This window comes from Homo sapiens, chromosome 2, assembly GCF_000001405.40.
Source record: "Homo sapiens chromosome 2, GRCh38.p14 Primary Assembly".
Lineage (NCBI taxonomy): Eukaryota > Metazoa > Chordata > Mammalia > Primates > Hominidae > Homo > Homo sapiens.
This window is the reverse complement of record NC_000002.12, coordinates 27,907,457-27,923,255: the sequence shown is the minus strand read 5'-3', so window position 1 is coordinate 27,923,255 and position 15,799 is coordinate 27,907,457. Positions and strand designations below refer to the sequence as shown.

The 15,799-nt window shown below is 35.9% G+C and overlaps 1 protein-coding gene across 14 annotated transcripts in view, besides 1 other annotated feature; it reads right to left on the bottom strand.

Annotated features, from left to right (window-relative positions):
• The window catches only part of BABAM2 (BRISC and BRCA1 A complex member 2), a 450,193-nt gene that overhangs the window by 415,646 nt on the left and 18,748 nt on the right, over window positions 1-15,799 (bottom strand). The gene's annotated exons all lie outside the window — the stretch shown is intronic.
• Window positions 15,468-15,668: a silencer, noted in NCBI's record as "peak3637 fragment used in MPRA reporter construct". NCBI's record gives its function as "represses an SCP1 promoter by STARR-seq MPRAs in K562 erythroleukemia cells {active_cell/tissue: K562}" and the evidence as "EXISTENCE:reporter gene assay evidence [ECO:0000049][PMID:32103011]".

Here is a 15,799-nt window from a genome sequence, read left to right as displayed (position 1 = left end):
TTCTTTTAAAGTACTTCACTCCTTCTCAGAAGGAAAGAATTCAGGGTGATATACTGATGAACAGTCTTCAAGTAAGGCATATGAAAGTCTTTATACTGTGATATCACAAAACTTCACATTTCTAACATTTATTATCTTTCACAGTTTCTTTGGGTCGGAATTTGGGAATGGCTTGGCTGGGCAGTTCTAGCTTAAGGTCTCCCATGAAGCTGCTGTCATAAATCAGTAACAGATAACTAATAAAGCAGGGAAATTCACTCATCTAGAAAGCCATTTCCTTATACAAGTATGAAAAAGCTAGTAAAGAAAAAGCTACTGGCTACATTAAAATTATATTTATAGAATGGCAACTTGTCCTCACACATAGTTAGAGCCAAGGTTGAAAAAGCCAGTATTCCAAATTGAATCACTTTTAATTTAAAAATTATTTTTAAATATTTTAAAATTGCTGACGGTTAAGTATAATTTCAAATTTGTCTCTCAACTATATTTCATCAGTGTTCACTGTGTGTCTGGCACTAAGTGCTAGGAATATAGCAGTAACAAGAACAAAAAACATATCTTGGTGTTAGAGTACAGAAAGGATTTTGGATAAAAACTATGCTGTAAAAATATATCTTTTACCAATTTCAAATTACCTAAATATACCAGGAATGCACTATTTTAAAGTTTAACATGTGAGTGAACAAAGGGAGTTAAACTCACATTATACAGATTATGAAAGTGGGAATTATCAAGCGGGAATTCTTGATAGCATCAAAGGAGGTAGTTTAATCTAGTACTTTATTACAGAAATGGCAGTTAATCATTGACGCAATAAAATGCTGAGCGTAAGAACCTTCGCACATTCTCATCTGTTGAGTCTCTTATTTTACATTTAATCACATGACTCCCAGTATTATTTGTCTATTTTTCTCCTTGTGGCTTGTTTTCCCAACCAGATCATAAGATTCTAGTGTCAAGCGCTATGTTATACTCCTTTTTAAGTAAGTCCTAGTATAGCACCTAGCACAGTGCTAAGTATCCAGCACTGATGAAATTTTAGCATATTACTAACACTCATAAACTAAGTTCAAGAACTGTCATTTTACAGATGATGACATCAAAGAGCAAAGGGTCTCACTGGCACTCTGGGATTGGAAACCACTTACAGGACACGCTAACCATATCTTAGTCTCCATGGCCTAGGCATCTTTAAATCTCCAGTGTCTAGCACTGATATCCAGGAGGTGAACACTCCAACAACTATGTAGGAGGATAAAGGTTTGCTGAATGAATGCATATATCTTGACTCCTAGTGTTGTACTCTTTTCATGATTAAAAACAACAACAAGAAAAAAAGACTGTTGATTTAACTGGAATTGGGATGATGTGCTCATCCTCACCTCCAAGAAAGGCAAAAGTGTGATTATTTGTGGAAGGTTTTCCCTTTGAAGAACTGTACACACAACTCAGAATTTAAACTTTAAGTTATTACCTATAATTATTATATTTCCACAATAAACAAATAACAGCAGCTAATATTTGTCGGGCATTTACTAATGTGGCAGGCACTATTCTAAGCTCTTTAATTATATTAAACTATTTAAACTTACAGCAACCTTCCAAGATAGGTGCTGTTATTACCCCAATTTACAGATGAGGGCACTGAGGCACGTAGATGCTTATGTAACTTGCTAGTGAGTGACAGAGCTGGGATCCAAACCCAGGATGTCTGCCTCCATGGCCCACTTTCTTAATTACTACATTAAACCATCTCTCAATAATTTAAGAGAAAACCATCAGATTAATATCTTATGATTAGTGAATTATAAATCATAATTAGTGGCTTATAAAGATTTATAACTATAAATCTCATAATTGGTGAACTATAAATGTTTTCAACAAATGATATTTTATTAAGTACCTAGAAAAATGAGAAGTAAAAGATGACAAAATATTGCCAAAAAGAAGTTCTATTACATGCGTTCTAATGAAAAGAAAATTATTTATCAGTAATAAGTATAAAAACTGTAAACACATAAATCAAGGCTACAAGAGAGGGAACAAGCCCCCCGTAACTTGACACAGACTCTACAATGATGACACTGTTCACTGATTTAGCAAACTATATATATAAAGTTTAAGTAAATAATGAAAGGTAAATTTGGATTTGACTCCTCTTTAAATTATCATTTGTTCCTAGTTACTGAGATCCGACTCAAATGTTAAGGTTTCACTATAAAAAAATAAAAGTAGGCAAATTTTACTATACTTTATAGGCTTTTTAGTGACAGCCAAGAACTAATCTAGATTAACAAAGCTATATGAAGATATTCTACAACCTTTAAAACATTAGCAGTTTTAAAATAATGCAAAATATAAGAAAATATATTCTTTCTGGCTTAATAGGGCTAACCCTGTTTTTTGATACACTGTCTGGAAAAAAATAATGACTTAGACCATTTCTATTCTTCAAGCCACCTAAAAAGAACAAAGTAGATGAGTCCAGGGTTCCTTCCCTGAGTCTACGTCAGTTTCCTTTACCCTGACTATTAATTTACCATTTGGCATGTGTCCTACATAGCTTCCTGTTTTCTTGATAGTGACGTTTGTGCTAAACCAACAATATTTAACATCAGCTGAGAAGGAAGTCTTCAACTTTGGCAACCTAAAATAACAAGTGACTCTCAAATAAAATATGCTCAAAGATCAATAACCACCTTTTAAAAAAAAGTCACATATTACAGTAAATTACTGTTAACTAATATTAACTACATTTTCATCTTTTAGAATTTATTTTCTCTGAATTAAATCTAACATAGATTACTCAGTTTCAAAAATTATCATGGTTTCTAGACTGGATGCAGCAGTAAAGAAGCTGGAAGACTGACAAAGGGTATCTTAACATCTATCTAAATAATCTAAAACATGAGCATTTTATCTGCAAAGGCATCTGAACTGGTTCATGGAATCTTACATATTCAGCCTTGAAAGGGCTATAATTATACCCCATCTGACTGGCCAGACCAAATCCACAAGGTCAAGTCTTAGACCTTTTTACAAGCAAAAAGGACAAATTAAAATCGGTAAAAGAAGACAAAATTGCATTCAGATAGATTTTCTCGGTTGATTTTCAGGGGAATGGGGCTATGCATTTGATGACATATGATATTCTTGATACATCAAGTACATTCTATCTCTAAAGCCTAAAAACTATGGCTAGACCCTCCTAGAAAAAATGATACATTTAATTCTTAGCATAGGATTCCAAAATGCCATCACCAAAATAAGTGACTCAGCCCAGAATGTTTTAAAAATTACAAAATTAAAATATTCAAGAAAATGTGTTTGCCAGTTCATGTGGCGTCAACTGTTATTCTCAGCTTCTATGCCATATCTCCATTTATAAATGATAAACTTCAACTCTACTTTAGAGTAGGAAGTATTTTTAAATGTTGGTAGGTGTCCCTATAACAAAAATGTGGTTTAAATTACAATATGGTTTCAGTAGGAATGATGGGCTCACATACAGTTTTTAACAGCTAACTAGGATCGGGAAAAAATCCTTTAACTTTTTCAGATAGATGCTTAGCTTATTAATTTTCAACCTTTCTTCTTTTCTAATATGTGCATTTAATTAACTCTGCTAAGAGAATAAGAGGAAATTGATAGGATTATCTTAATAAGTACAAGTGTTTGATGAAATTAAACATCCATTCATAATTTTAAAAGCTCTCTATAAACTGGGATAAAAGGGAACTTCCTTAATGTGATCAAAGCTATCTACAAAAAACTTAAAGCAACATCATACTTAAAAACAAAACATTAAAATTTTTTTCTTTGAGATAGAGGATGAGACAAGAATACCAACTCTCATCACTTTAATTCAACATTGTACTGGAGGTCTTAGCCAGGATGGAGGAAATAAGGAGTATAAAAATTGGAAAAGAAGAAACAGAACTTACTTTTTTGCAGAAAATGTGACTGTGAACATAGAAAATTTTGTAAATGTTCATATGCACTATTGGAATGAATATGTGGGTTTAGCAAAGTTGTTAGAGCATACATAGAAGTCTATTGTATTTCCATATACCATCAACTGTCAGAAAATAAAACTTTTAGAAAGATGCCATCTAAAATAATATCAAATGATCAAATATATAGAAATAAATGTTACAATAGATGTGCAAGATCTCTATGCAGAAAGCTATTATTAAGAAGAAAATAAGTAAACAAATAAATGAACAGAGATATCATGTTCATGGATTAAAAGACTCATAATGAGGCCGGGCACAGTGGCTCATGCCTGTAATCTTAGCACGTTAGAAGGCCAAGTCAGGTGGATCACTTGAGCTCAAAAGTTTAAGACCAGCCTGGGCAACATGGAGAAACCCTGTCTCTACAAAAAATACCAAAAAGTTAGTGGGCATGGTGGCATGTGCCTGTAGTACCAGCTACTTGGGAGTCTGAGGTGGGAGGATCGCCTGAGCCAGGGAGGTCAAGACTGCAGTGAGCCATCATCACATCACTGCTCTCCAGCCTGAGCCACGGAGTGAGAAAAAAAAAGACTCATAATGAAAAGTTGTAAGTTCTCCCTAAATTGATCTGCAATCTGAAAGGCAGATTCTAAAATACAAATGGAATGCCAAGAACCTAGAATAGATCAGATGATCTTGAAGAACAAAAACTTGATAGGATTATTTACAATAAACAAAAGGTAGAAGCAATCCAAGTGTCCATCCATGGATGAATGGATAAACAAAATGTAGTACTATACATTATATATATATACAATACTATACATATACACACACACACACACAATGGAATGGCATATTATCCAGCCTTAAAAAGGAAGGAAATTTTGACACATGCTACAACATGGATACATCTTGAGGACCTTATGCTAAGTGAAATAAGCTGGTCAAAAAAGGACAAAGACTATATGATTCCACTTACATGAGGTATCTAAAGTAGTCAAATTCACAGTCAGAGAAAGTAGAACAGTAGTTGTAAGGGGCTGAGGAGAGAGGGAAATAGGAAGCTATAGTTTAATGGGTACAGAGTTTCCGATGGATAGTTGTAATGACTGTACTACAATGTAAATATACTTAATGCCACAGAACTGTATGCTTAAAAATGATTAAAATAGTAAATTTATGTTACATGTATTTTACCACAGTAAGAAAAACTTTGGTAGGAAATTTGCAATACTGGATTTCAAAATTTACTATAAATGTTAGTAATTAAAATACTCATGTTGGTACAAAAATAGACAAACCAGTAAAACAGAATAAAGAGTTCAGAGACAGACCCTCACATTTCTGGACACTTAATTTACGACAAAAGCATTTCTTCCATTAGTATCTACATATTTTTTCAGATTTCTTTTTCAGGTATGGCAGGTGAAAATACCACAATATAAGTAATATAAATTATTTTTACAGTGTTGTTAATTTTATCTTTATATCATTTTTAGCTTATATTTTATGTATGTTTTATAATCTATAAATATATTTTTATAAGTAAATATGCATGTAGCAGAGGTACACAATAAAATAATTTGGGGTGTGCTATAGACTGAATGTTAGTGGCCCCTCAAAATTCTTATTGGAATCTAATCCCCAATGTGTTGGTATTAAGAGGTAGGGCCTTTGAGAGCTGACTAGGTCATAAAACGGAGGCCTCATAAATAGGATTAGCGTCCTTATAAAAGAGGCCTGAGGGAGCTCGTCTGCCCCTTTTCCCTTCTGCCATGCAAGGACACAGAGAAGGCATCATCTATGAGGAACGGGCCCTCACCAGACACAATCTACCAGAGCCATGATCCTGGACTTTCTAGCCATCAGAACTGTGAGCAATAAACTTCTGCTGTTTATAAATTACCAAGTCTAAGGTATTTTGTTATGGCAACCCAAACTGACTAAGACAGGGTGCATAATTTAAAAAAACACTTTGGGCCGGGCGTGGTGGCTCACGCCTATAATTCCACCATTTTGGGAGGATGAGGCGGGCAAATCATGAGGTCAAGAGATCAAGACCATCCTGGCCAACGTGGTGAAACCCCATCTCTACTAAAAATACAAAAATTAGCTGCGCGTGGTGGCACGTGCCTGTAGCCCCAGCCACTTGGGAGGCTGAGGCAGGAAAATCGCTTGAACCCAGGAGGCGGAAGTTGCAGTGAGCCGAGATCGTGCCACTGCACTCCAGCCTGGCAACAGAGCAAGCCTCTGTCACAAAAAAAAAAAAAAAAAAAAAAGTTTGGAGTGATTATTGCTATAAGAGTTACACAAAGGATTCTCTATTCTCAAGAACTTGTAATCAGAAGACAAAAATCAAACTATGAAAGTCACACAACACAATTTAAATAACAAGTCAAGACAACAATAGATACAAGTCACAAAGCAATTAACATGATTAATTGCCAAATTAGTGGTTAAAGAAAATAAACACAATAGGAGCGAAGAGAGCAGAGAAACCACTTTTAGCTTGGGTAACCAAGGAAGGTTCACTGGAATACAACTGGCCTCTAAGAATGCATAGGATCTGGCCAAGTGAGGGGAAGGAGAAATAGTTATGGGCAATTGTCTTTAAGTAAGGGCAAAACCTAAGAGACAGGCACTGCTAGACTGAAAACTCTAAGAAGAAAGAGAATGCATTAAACCCTGGATCCCTCAGTGTCCAGCAGCATACCTGCTGGCACACAGGAAGTACCTGAAAGCTATTTCATAAATACTGCAAGTGAGCAAGGTAGAGCTGGAGTGGACAAGGTCAAACAAGTTACAGAAATGTCCTGGACTGTTTGCTATTTCAACTGTGGGAATGCTGGTAATTATTACTCATATTAGTAAATGTTATATAAGAGATCCCCAGGGCCAAGGCCAACTTAAATACCATTTTCATACATTCAATGTACAGTGTTATTTTATAAGAAGTAATTTTTATACTAAACACTACTAATTTTCCAATGAAAATATTCCTGTAAACTTTTTAGGCCACTGTTTTTATGCCTTGATCCAAAACATGTCCTAAATGCTGCCTATTCTCTGAACTCTGGGGCTCATATTTTATATTATTTGCATACTATTTATCTAAATCCCATAGACATTCCTGATCCATATAGGGAAGGCCTAAGGAGTATTTACCTTGGCATGCTCCAATAGCTCTGATTCTCAAGGGAATGTACTAGCAGAGCTTTGATCTCACCCTGATTAGCTCTCATGCTACATGCTTTATTTATGTTTGTATCTCAACAATGCCTCACACTTACTTGGTGCTCAGTACATGCTTAACCTATCTAAAAAAATAAATTTGAATGAATATGGAAAGCACAAAAGCAGAGTAAAGGAAAGAATAGATGGAAAACCAGTGGAGATGGGGAGATAGGGAGATGGGGAGAAGAAACAAAAAGAAAATGAAAAAGTAGAGAGAGAGAATTGTAGTAGGAAACTGATGACAGGGTAGAGCCAAAAATAGAGAATTAGATAAAGAAGAGTGGGGAAGAAAGGAAAAGGAAGAATTAATAGATTCTGAAGTGTCATTAAAGGATTCCCTTTCCTGTTACTGAAAAGTGCTTTCTAAAGATAGAAAAAAAACGTTTTTTATATCTTCAAATTCTTATATTTAAATGATTATGAAAAGACTTAGCATCTGCTATATGAGCATATCTGGAACTACAGGGTAATGGGATAAGTGTGCCATCCACGTATTTTTGGTTGTTAGGTAGTTTGAAAGGATTTCGTTCTTAGATTGCGCTTGAGATGCTACTGTTATACACTATAAATTCTAAAGCCTTGTGCAAGTTAAATAATCTCTCTCGTCTTCAGTGTTCTCATTTGTAAAATAAGGATAACAGTCATGCTCCAGAGAGCTGTTATGAGGATCCACTGACTTGGTGCACATAAATAAAGTATTTAGAACAGTTCCTGGCACACAGAGAGCACTTGCTGTCACGAGTATTCAAAAGTACAAATTGCAAAACCAAAAAATAAGGAGGAGGAGAGTCTATCTCAAACACTATTTTCCTTAAACCCTTTACTTCACTGGGGCAATAATTTTCTGAGCTAAAAACCTCAATTGACCTCCTCACCTCTTCACCGGGCTACTTCATTTCTTCATTCCACAGACAAAAATTCTCATGGGGGTCCAACCATGAAAAGACTTAATCAGAGCAGTAAAATAATTTTCCAGTGTCCTAAAGCAAATCTAATGGAGCCCATCATGCCTCTCATGTTACACAGCAGAAATTTACAGGGAAACAAAGAGAAGAATATCAAGATGGGGCATGTAAATTGGCTGCAGAGCAAGCAGAGACTAGACAGAGCCATCAGAGAAACAAGGACAGGAAGCATCTAGTCTAGGCCAGAGGCTTTCAAACTTTTTTGACACATAATAAGAAATTTTTATATCACCATTTTATATCACCATCAGTAGAGATATCTGTACAGAGTAATATTATATATGCATATGTGTACATATATCTGTGTACGTGTTCATATATAAATTGAAAACAAAATTGTTAAGCAATGATACTTAGCTTTATTACATGACGTGTACTTTTGTTCCATTCTCTTCTGTTTTTTATGTAAATCAAGGCCCTCTAAAATGATTTCATAACACACCTAAAGGTCACAGCTATCAGTGGTTTGTAACCCACAGCTCTGTCCAGTACAATCTCACAGAAGGTAGCTTCCTGGAAAATGAAGATAAAAATACTCAACCCTACACTTGGTCAAAACTATTCCTTGAACACTTCATTCAGTTCTAGGTGTTACACTTTAAGAAGTATAGAGACTAACTGGATCACATTCAGAAGAAGCCAAAAAAGACAGGGAAGGACACAAATCCATGATAGCAGCAAAGGCTACATGTTAGCCTACAGAAGAAAGAACTATCAAACATGATAGCTATCTTCACTAACATGCAGGATCAATTAAGCTTGTTCTATATTGTGACAAGAGCTAGAAGTGGCAAGGCAAAGGGTTTCAGGTCAATGTAGAAAAGCACTATGTAACAGTATTAGCTGCCCAGGGAGCTGTGTTGGGACTCATGGAGCTTCCACATGACTAGAGATACTTACAGACAGCCTGAACAGTCACTTGGCAGAGAAGCATTAGAAGGGGTTCATAGATCATATGGTTAACATTAGAGTGTAATGCTTTCCATTCCTGAAATTCTATAATTCTGGTGTAGATTAAAACAATGTTATACTTTAATATGACTACTAAAGCTAACACTAGTTCTTTATTAAGTTTTTAATAAGAAATGAATTCTACCATGAACCACATGAAACAAAGTTGAAATGGTAAATGATATTTTCTTGTAACAAGAGAATGTAACAAAAATTGGCAATGTGCCTATCATAGTCATTAAAAATCTTCATCAGTTACAATTAGAGAAAAACTGAAGTGTTACCCAAATCACTGGCATAGTGTTTAAGACGTTCAACTTAGAAAATATAACTACATTACAGCTTTAAGAAGCAAACATCAAAAAAAGGTGATCTTTAAAATGTACAGAAATAAGAGTGTTTACAAAAGAAGATTGTATTATAAACATTCTCTCCTTGCCCAAAAGCCATTCTTTGGTGTGTGTAGATTTTATGTGCATTTTATACGTATAAAATATACGTGTAAATTCTCTCCTTACCCAAAAGCCATTCTTTGGTGTGTGTATATATATGTAAAGCATGGACAAAGTAACAATGTCCTCTGATTTTTTACTGATCCAACTAACTGAAAATTTGAGTTATCTTCAGAATAGTTTTTATTTGTATAACCATCTACCATATTTGTTTTAAAAAACAGTATCTCCAATTATCTAACATGTAGTTAGGAATTACTTATCAATAACATACTACTGTTGCCCCTCTGAGATAGAATTCTTAAGAAGGCCAACTCCTGGACTGTTAGAATGCAGAAATCTTTCTAGAATCGTGCTATTCAAAGAGAGCAGGTCCATGGACCAGTTCTGGTCTGTAAATTATTACTAATCCATAATAAGAAAAGTACAGAAAATGAGATAAGAATTTTAAAACTTTTACAGCAATGTGTAAGAATAAATCTGATGAATCTACTAATAAAAGAGTCAAGCCTTGTATTTCATGTCTTTTTCATTTCACTCTTCTAGCAATTCATTTTTATATTTTACAAAAGTATCAGCTGGTGACCAGCTACATTTTTTTTAATCTGTTCTTCCATCAAAGAGTTTGAAAAACACTTTTCTGAAGAATCTTTAGATGCTGAAGGTCCTTGGATATGAAGATAAGCTGCTTTACTTTGATGTCTTCTAATCTCCCTATTCATCTTGGTTTTCCCACAACAGTAACAAACATTAATTTATTTCTTTCCAAGTGTTCTTTTGATATCTCTACTAAGTTGACAGCAACATCAATATAGTTCACTGCCCAAAATTTATCATCAGGTTATCTGTCTGACTGCTCAGAACCTGTAACACTATTTCATTTCCATCCAGATGTAGCTCCAACATATTCTTGGATTCATTCCTTGCAAGAAGATATTAATAAATTTGACAAGCCAGTTTGAAGGGGTCATCCAATCTTGCAACATGACTGCTGGCATAATCTGTGGCAGTCTATCCTTTGGAACTTCTAAAGGTAGTATGGCTCAGTTTTAAATCCCAGGCCTTCTAAAGAGATCATCTAAAGTAATGGTCTCTCGCGTCCTGAATTCCTGCCAATCTACCTATAATTCCAATCTTCCATTTGAACTATATTGGTTCTCAGAATCCTTTTCTGACTTACATACTCTTTTAATTTCTTAAGTAAATACATACAAAGATAGATATAATAAACATATTTATAAAAACCTGCCAATGACAATTCCAAAAGATACTTTTATGATGCAAAAACATGATAAATACTATTCTTTAAAAATTAAATACATTGTGCTGTGCTGTAAGAAATTATGCCACAATGCCAAGAATTATATCACTAGTTTTAGTTAAGATTTGCAAAGTCATTCAAGCTTCCAAATCCTCAATAACTTTAATAATGGAAAAAAAAAAAGAATAAGGAGTCTGCGAATGTAGGTCAAAAAGCAAATCAGTGACAGACTTAAAATAACTATATGTGTTTAATTTCTGCCCCAGTTCCAACAATGAAATTGTATTCCCTTTCCATACCCTAGTAATTGTTCAGCATTCTTTCCCAAGGTGGGAGACTGAGACTCCACAACCTTGGTTCAATGTTTGTATCTCCTAAGGCCAGTTTCTGGAATTAGGCATGGTTAAACAATGTGACAGCACAGAAGAATGGCTCTTTTCTTTGAGTGGCTAAAAGCTTGGGGGTTAGTGGGTATAGTGTAGGCAAAGTAGTGGTGTAGGTTTTGTGAAAAGAAGAAGAAAAGGAAAAATACTTGGAGGAGGCACGTCCTATTCCTATTCTATCTCAACATGATCTGGTTTTTATTTTTTATTATTAGATTTGTTTCAAATCATATAAATGGCTGCTAGTGGAAAACAGATCAGATCTAGAACAGTTATGAAGAGTCTAGTTAGGACTGGTTAGGAAAAGAGATGGAGTGCTGACAGTACTGAGAGAGAGAAATGGATGAACTACAGGTCAGACAGCTTCTGAGAGGAACTGATGAGGCTTGAAGAGAGATTTGCATTTCAAGAAGTAATGATACCTTGAAGTCCATGCTCAAGATTGTGATAAGGATTTAGTTTCAGTATCTCATTTTATTTAGGAGCCCACAGCTGCACGCTTGCCTCCATTTTTCTCTACCCTTCCTTTTCTATAATCTTTTCTTCTCCCCTGATTTCCTCTTCCTACCTTATTGTCCTTTCTCTGTCTTCCTTCTTTCCCTTCAAATCCACCCCTTTCTTTCTTCCCTCCCTAACCTTCTCCTTTGCTTACATACAATATGGAACTGAAAGAATTTTAAAATATTTATTCTATTTATGAATAGTTCTTAACTTAAAATCCAGAGGGTTCAAACATGTATACATATTATACATTTGCAAAAAGACATGTAATAGAATGTTCACAATGGCACTATTCAAAATGGCACTATTCATAATACTAGTGTATTAGTCTGTTCCCACACTACTAATAAAGACATGTCCAAGACTGGGTAGTTTATAAAAGAAAGAGGTTTAATTGACTCACAGTTCAGCATGGCTGGGGAGGCCTCAAGGAACTTACAATCACAGCAGAAGGGGAAACAAACACATCCTTCTTCACGTGGTGGCAGCAAGGAGAAGTACCGAGCAAAAGGGGGAAAAGCCCCTTATAAAATCATCAGATTGTGTGAGAACTCACTATCACAAGAACAGCAGCACGGGGGTAACCACCCCCAGGATTCAATTACCTTCCACCGGGTCCCTCCCATGACAGGTGGGGATTATGGAAACTACAATTCAAGAAGAGATTTGGGTGGAAACACACCCAAACCATATCAATTAGGAACTACCCAAATGCCCTTCAAAAGTACAGTAGATAAACCGTGGCATGTTACACAATGGAACTCTCATTGCTCAGCCAGAAAAATGGGTGATCTACAACTATCTGCAACAATATAGAATATCACAAACATAACGCTGAACAAACGAAGCCTCACACAAAATGCCATTTTGTGCAGTATAAATTCCATTTATATATATATTTTTAAAAGTATATTAACCTATTTTGTTAGAAGTCAGGATAGCAGTTATCCTTTCATGGGAAGAGGGGTCAGTGACTAGATGGGAGCACAAAGAGGACGTACAAGGTGCTGATAATGTTCTGGGTTTTGGGTGCTAGTTACACAAGTCTGTTCAGCTTGTGAAAATTCAATGCATTATATACTTACTTATGATTCAGTGTACTTTTCTGAATGTATACTATACCTCAATAAAAAGTTTTTAAATTTAAAAATCAATTAGTTTAAACCTTTAATGTTTAGGGGAGGGAAGTAGCAACAACTAACCTTTTTTGTTTCTCTGATGCTTTCTAATGACTTTTTTCAACCTAGGAGACAACTGTGATACACCCCTGAACCTGGAACCATGACATTACTGTCAGATCCACAGTTTTATACTTATTGTGCCAGGTCCTATGCTAGGTGGTGGAGACACAGCTGTTATGCCAGATAATGGCCTTGTCTCCTCTACTAAGGGAGACAGGCCTAACAAACAAACAATAAATAAAAGCTTGAAATTGGCAATAGGACAGATTCTGATACAGAAAAGAACAAGGGAGAACTGTTATAGATGGAATGGCTTAGCTATGCAACCCTGAACAAGTCACGCAACTTACTTGAGTTTCAGTTACCTCATCTGCCTTAAGGGATTATTAGAAGGATTATATGCAACAAAACGTTTCAAAGCACTTACATTACAATGAAAAATTATTAATGATAACAGCTATTGTTATATTACTGTCCTTCCTGCCAATATAGAGCTGCTTATGTTAACCAATGTCATAGCATGTCCTATACACTACTACCATAATCATAACAATGAGTGATATTTTATAAGTCTCTAATTCTCAGTCAAAAGGCTTCTACTATGGGAGAAGCAGGTGCATTGGTAAATGGGTGTCCTTTGCCACAGAAGGAGATACTAGTGATACAAAGGTCTGGCTCAATTTCACCAGAGCCTTTTCTGACCTTTCTAGGGAAGAAAGCACAGAAAGATGATGCTAACAGAGGGGCAGGCTAGAGAAATTTAACCAACTGGAGAACATACAAGAAGTACCTCAAATTTTGTCAAGTGAAACTTTTGCGCATTAAAAGACATTATCAACAGAGTAAAAAGGCAACCTATGGAATGGGATGGGATACTTGCAAATCATACATCTATCTGAGACGGAACTGATATTCAGAACCCAAAAAGAAATCATACAATGAATACCAAAAAAAAACTTTTTTAATGGGCAAAAGACTTGAACAGACATTTCTCCAAAGAAGATATATAAATGGCCAAGAAGTACATGAAAAGATGCTCAAGCCTGTAATCCCAGCACTTTAAGAGGCCAAAGTGGGAGGACTGCTTGAGCCCAGGAGTTCGAGATCAATCTGGGTGACATAGCAAGACCCTATCTCTACAAAAAATAAACAAATCACCCAGGTATGGTGGCACATGCCTGTGGTCCCAGCTACTCAAGAGGCTGAGGTGGGAGGATTGCTTGAGCCCAGGAGGTGGAGGCTGCACAGTGAGCTGTGATTGCCCCACTGCACTCCAGCCTGGGTGACAGAGTGAGACTCTGTCTCAAAAAAAATAATAACAATAATAATAAAGAAAAGATGCTGAACATCAGTAAACATTAGGGAAATACAAACCAAAACCACTGTGAGATACCACTACACACCCATTAGGATTACTACTATGAAAACAAAAACAAAAACAAAGAAAAACAGAAAGTAATAAGTGTTGGTGTTGAGGAGGATGTGGAGAAATTAAAACCCTTGTGTCTTGCTGGTGGGAATATAAAACAGTGCAGCCTCTGTGGACAACAGTATAGCACACAGCCATAAAAAAAGAAGGAAATCACATCCTTTGCAGCAACATAGATGCAGCTGCAGGCCATTATCCTAAGTGAATTAACACAGAAACAAAAAATCAAATACTGCATGTTCTCACTTATAAGTGGAAGCTAAACACTGGGTAGACATGGACCTAAACATGGGAACAATAGACACTAGGGACTCCAAGAGAGGGGAGGAAAGGAGGGAGCCAAGGGTTGAAAAACTACCTACTGGGGCCGAGCACAGAGGCTCACGCCTGTAATCCAGCACTTTGAGAGGCCAAGGTGGGTGGATGGCTTGAGTCCAAGAGTTCGAGACCAGCCTGGGCAACATGGCGCAACCCCATTTCGAAAAAAAATACAAAAAATTAGCCAGGTGTGGTAGTATGTGCTTTAGTCCCAGCTACTCAGGAGACTTGATGTGAGAGGATTGCTTGAGCCCAGGAGGTTGAGGCTGCAGTGAGCTGTGGTCATATCACTGCACTCCAAACTGGATGACAGAGTGAGACCCGTGAGACCATAGCTCAAAAAAAAAAATTGTTTTTAAAAAAAGAGAACCTACCTATTGAGTACTATACTCACTACCCATGTGACAGGTTCAATTCTACCCCAAACCTCAGCATCACACAATATACCCTTGTAACAAACTTGCATATGTATCCACTGAATCTAAAATAAAAGTTGAAATTATTTTTAAAAACAGAAAGAAAACAGTATAGCGGTTCCTCAAAAAATTAAACAGAATTATCATATGATCTAGCAATTCTACTTCTGGGTATATACGCAAAAAACTGAAAACAGGGACTTTAAACAGGTATTTGTACACCCATATTAATAGCATTATTCACAGTAGCCAAAGATAGAAGCAACCCAAGTGTCTATCAATAGATGAATGGATAAACAAAGTGCGATATATACATACATTGAAATACTATCTAGCCTTTAAAAGTAAATTCTGACACTACAACACGGATGAACCTTGAAGATATTATGCTAAGTGAAGAAAGCCAGTCACAAAAGGGTAAATACTGCATGACTCACTTACATCAAGTGAGGTACCTAAAGTAGTCACATTCAGAGACAGATACCAGAATGGTGGCTGCCAGTAGCTGGGGGAAAAGAGAAATGGAAGTTGTTGTTTAATGGTAGAGAGTTTCAGCTTGCAAGATGAAAAAAGTTTTGGAGATATACGTCTCCAAATGCCACATTTGTGATGTACTTAATGCCAAAGATGTGTACACTTAAAAATAATGAAAATTGTAAATTTATGTTATGTATATTTTACCACATTATAAAACATAATGTGCCAAGCCCAAAATTGACCCAACATGTTAATTACTGAATCACAAA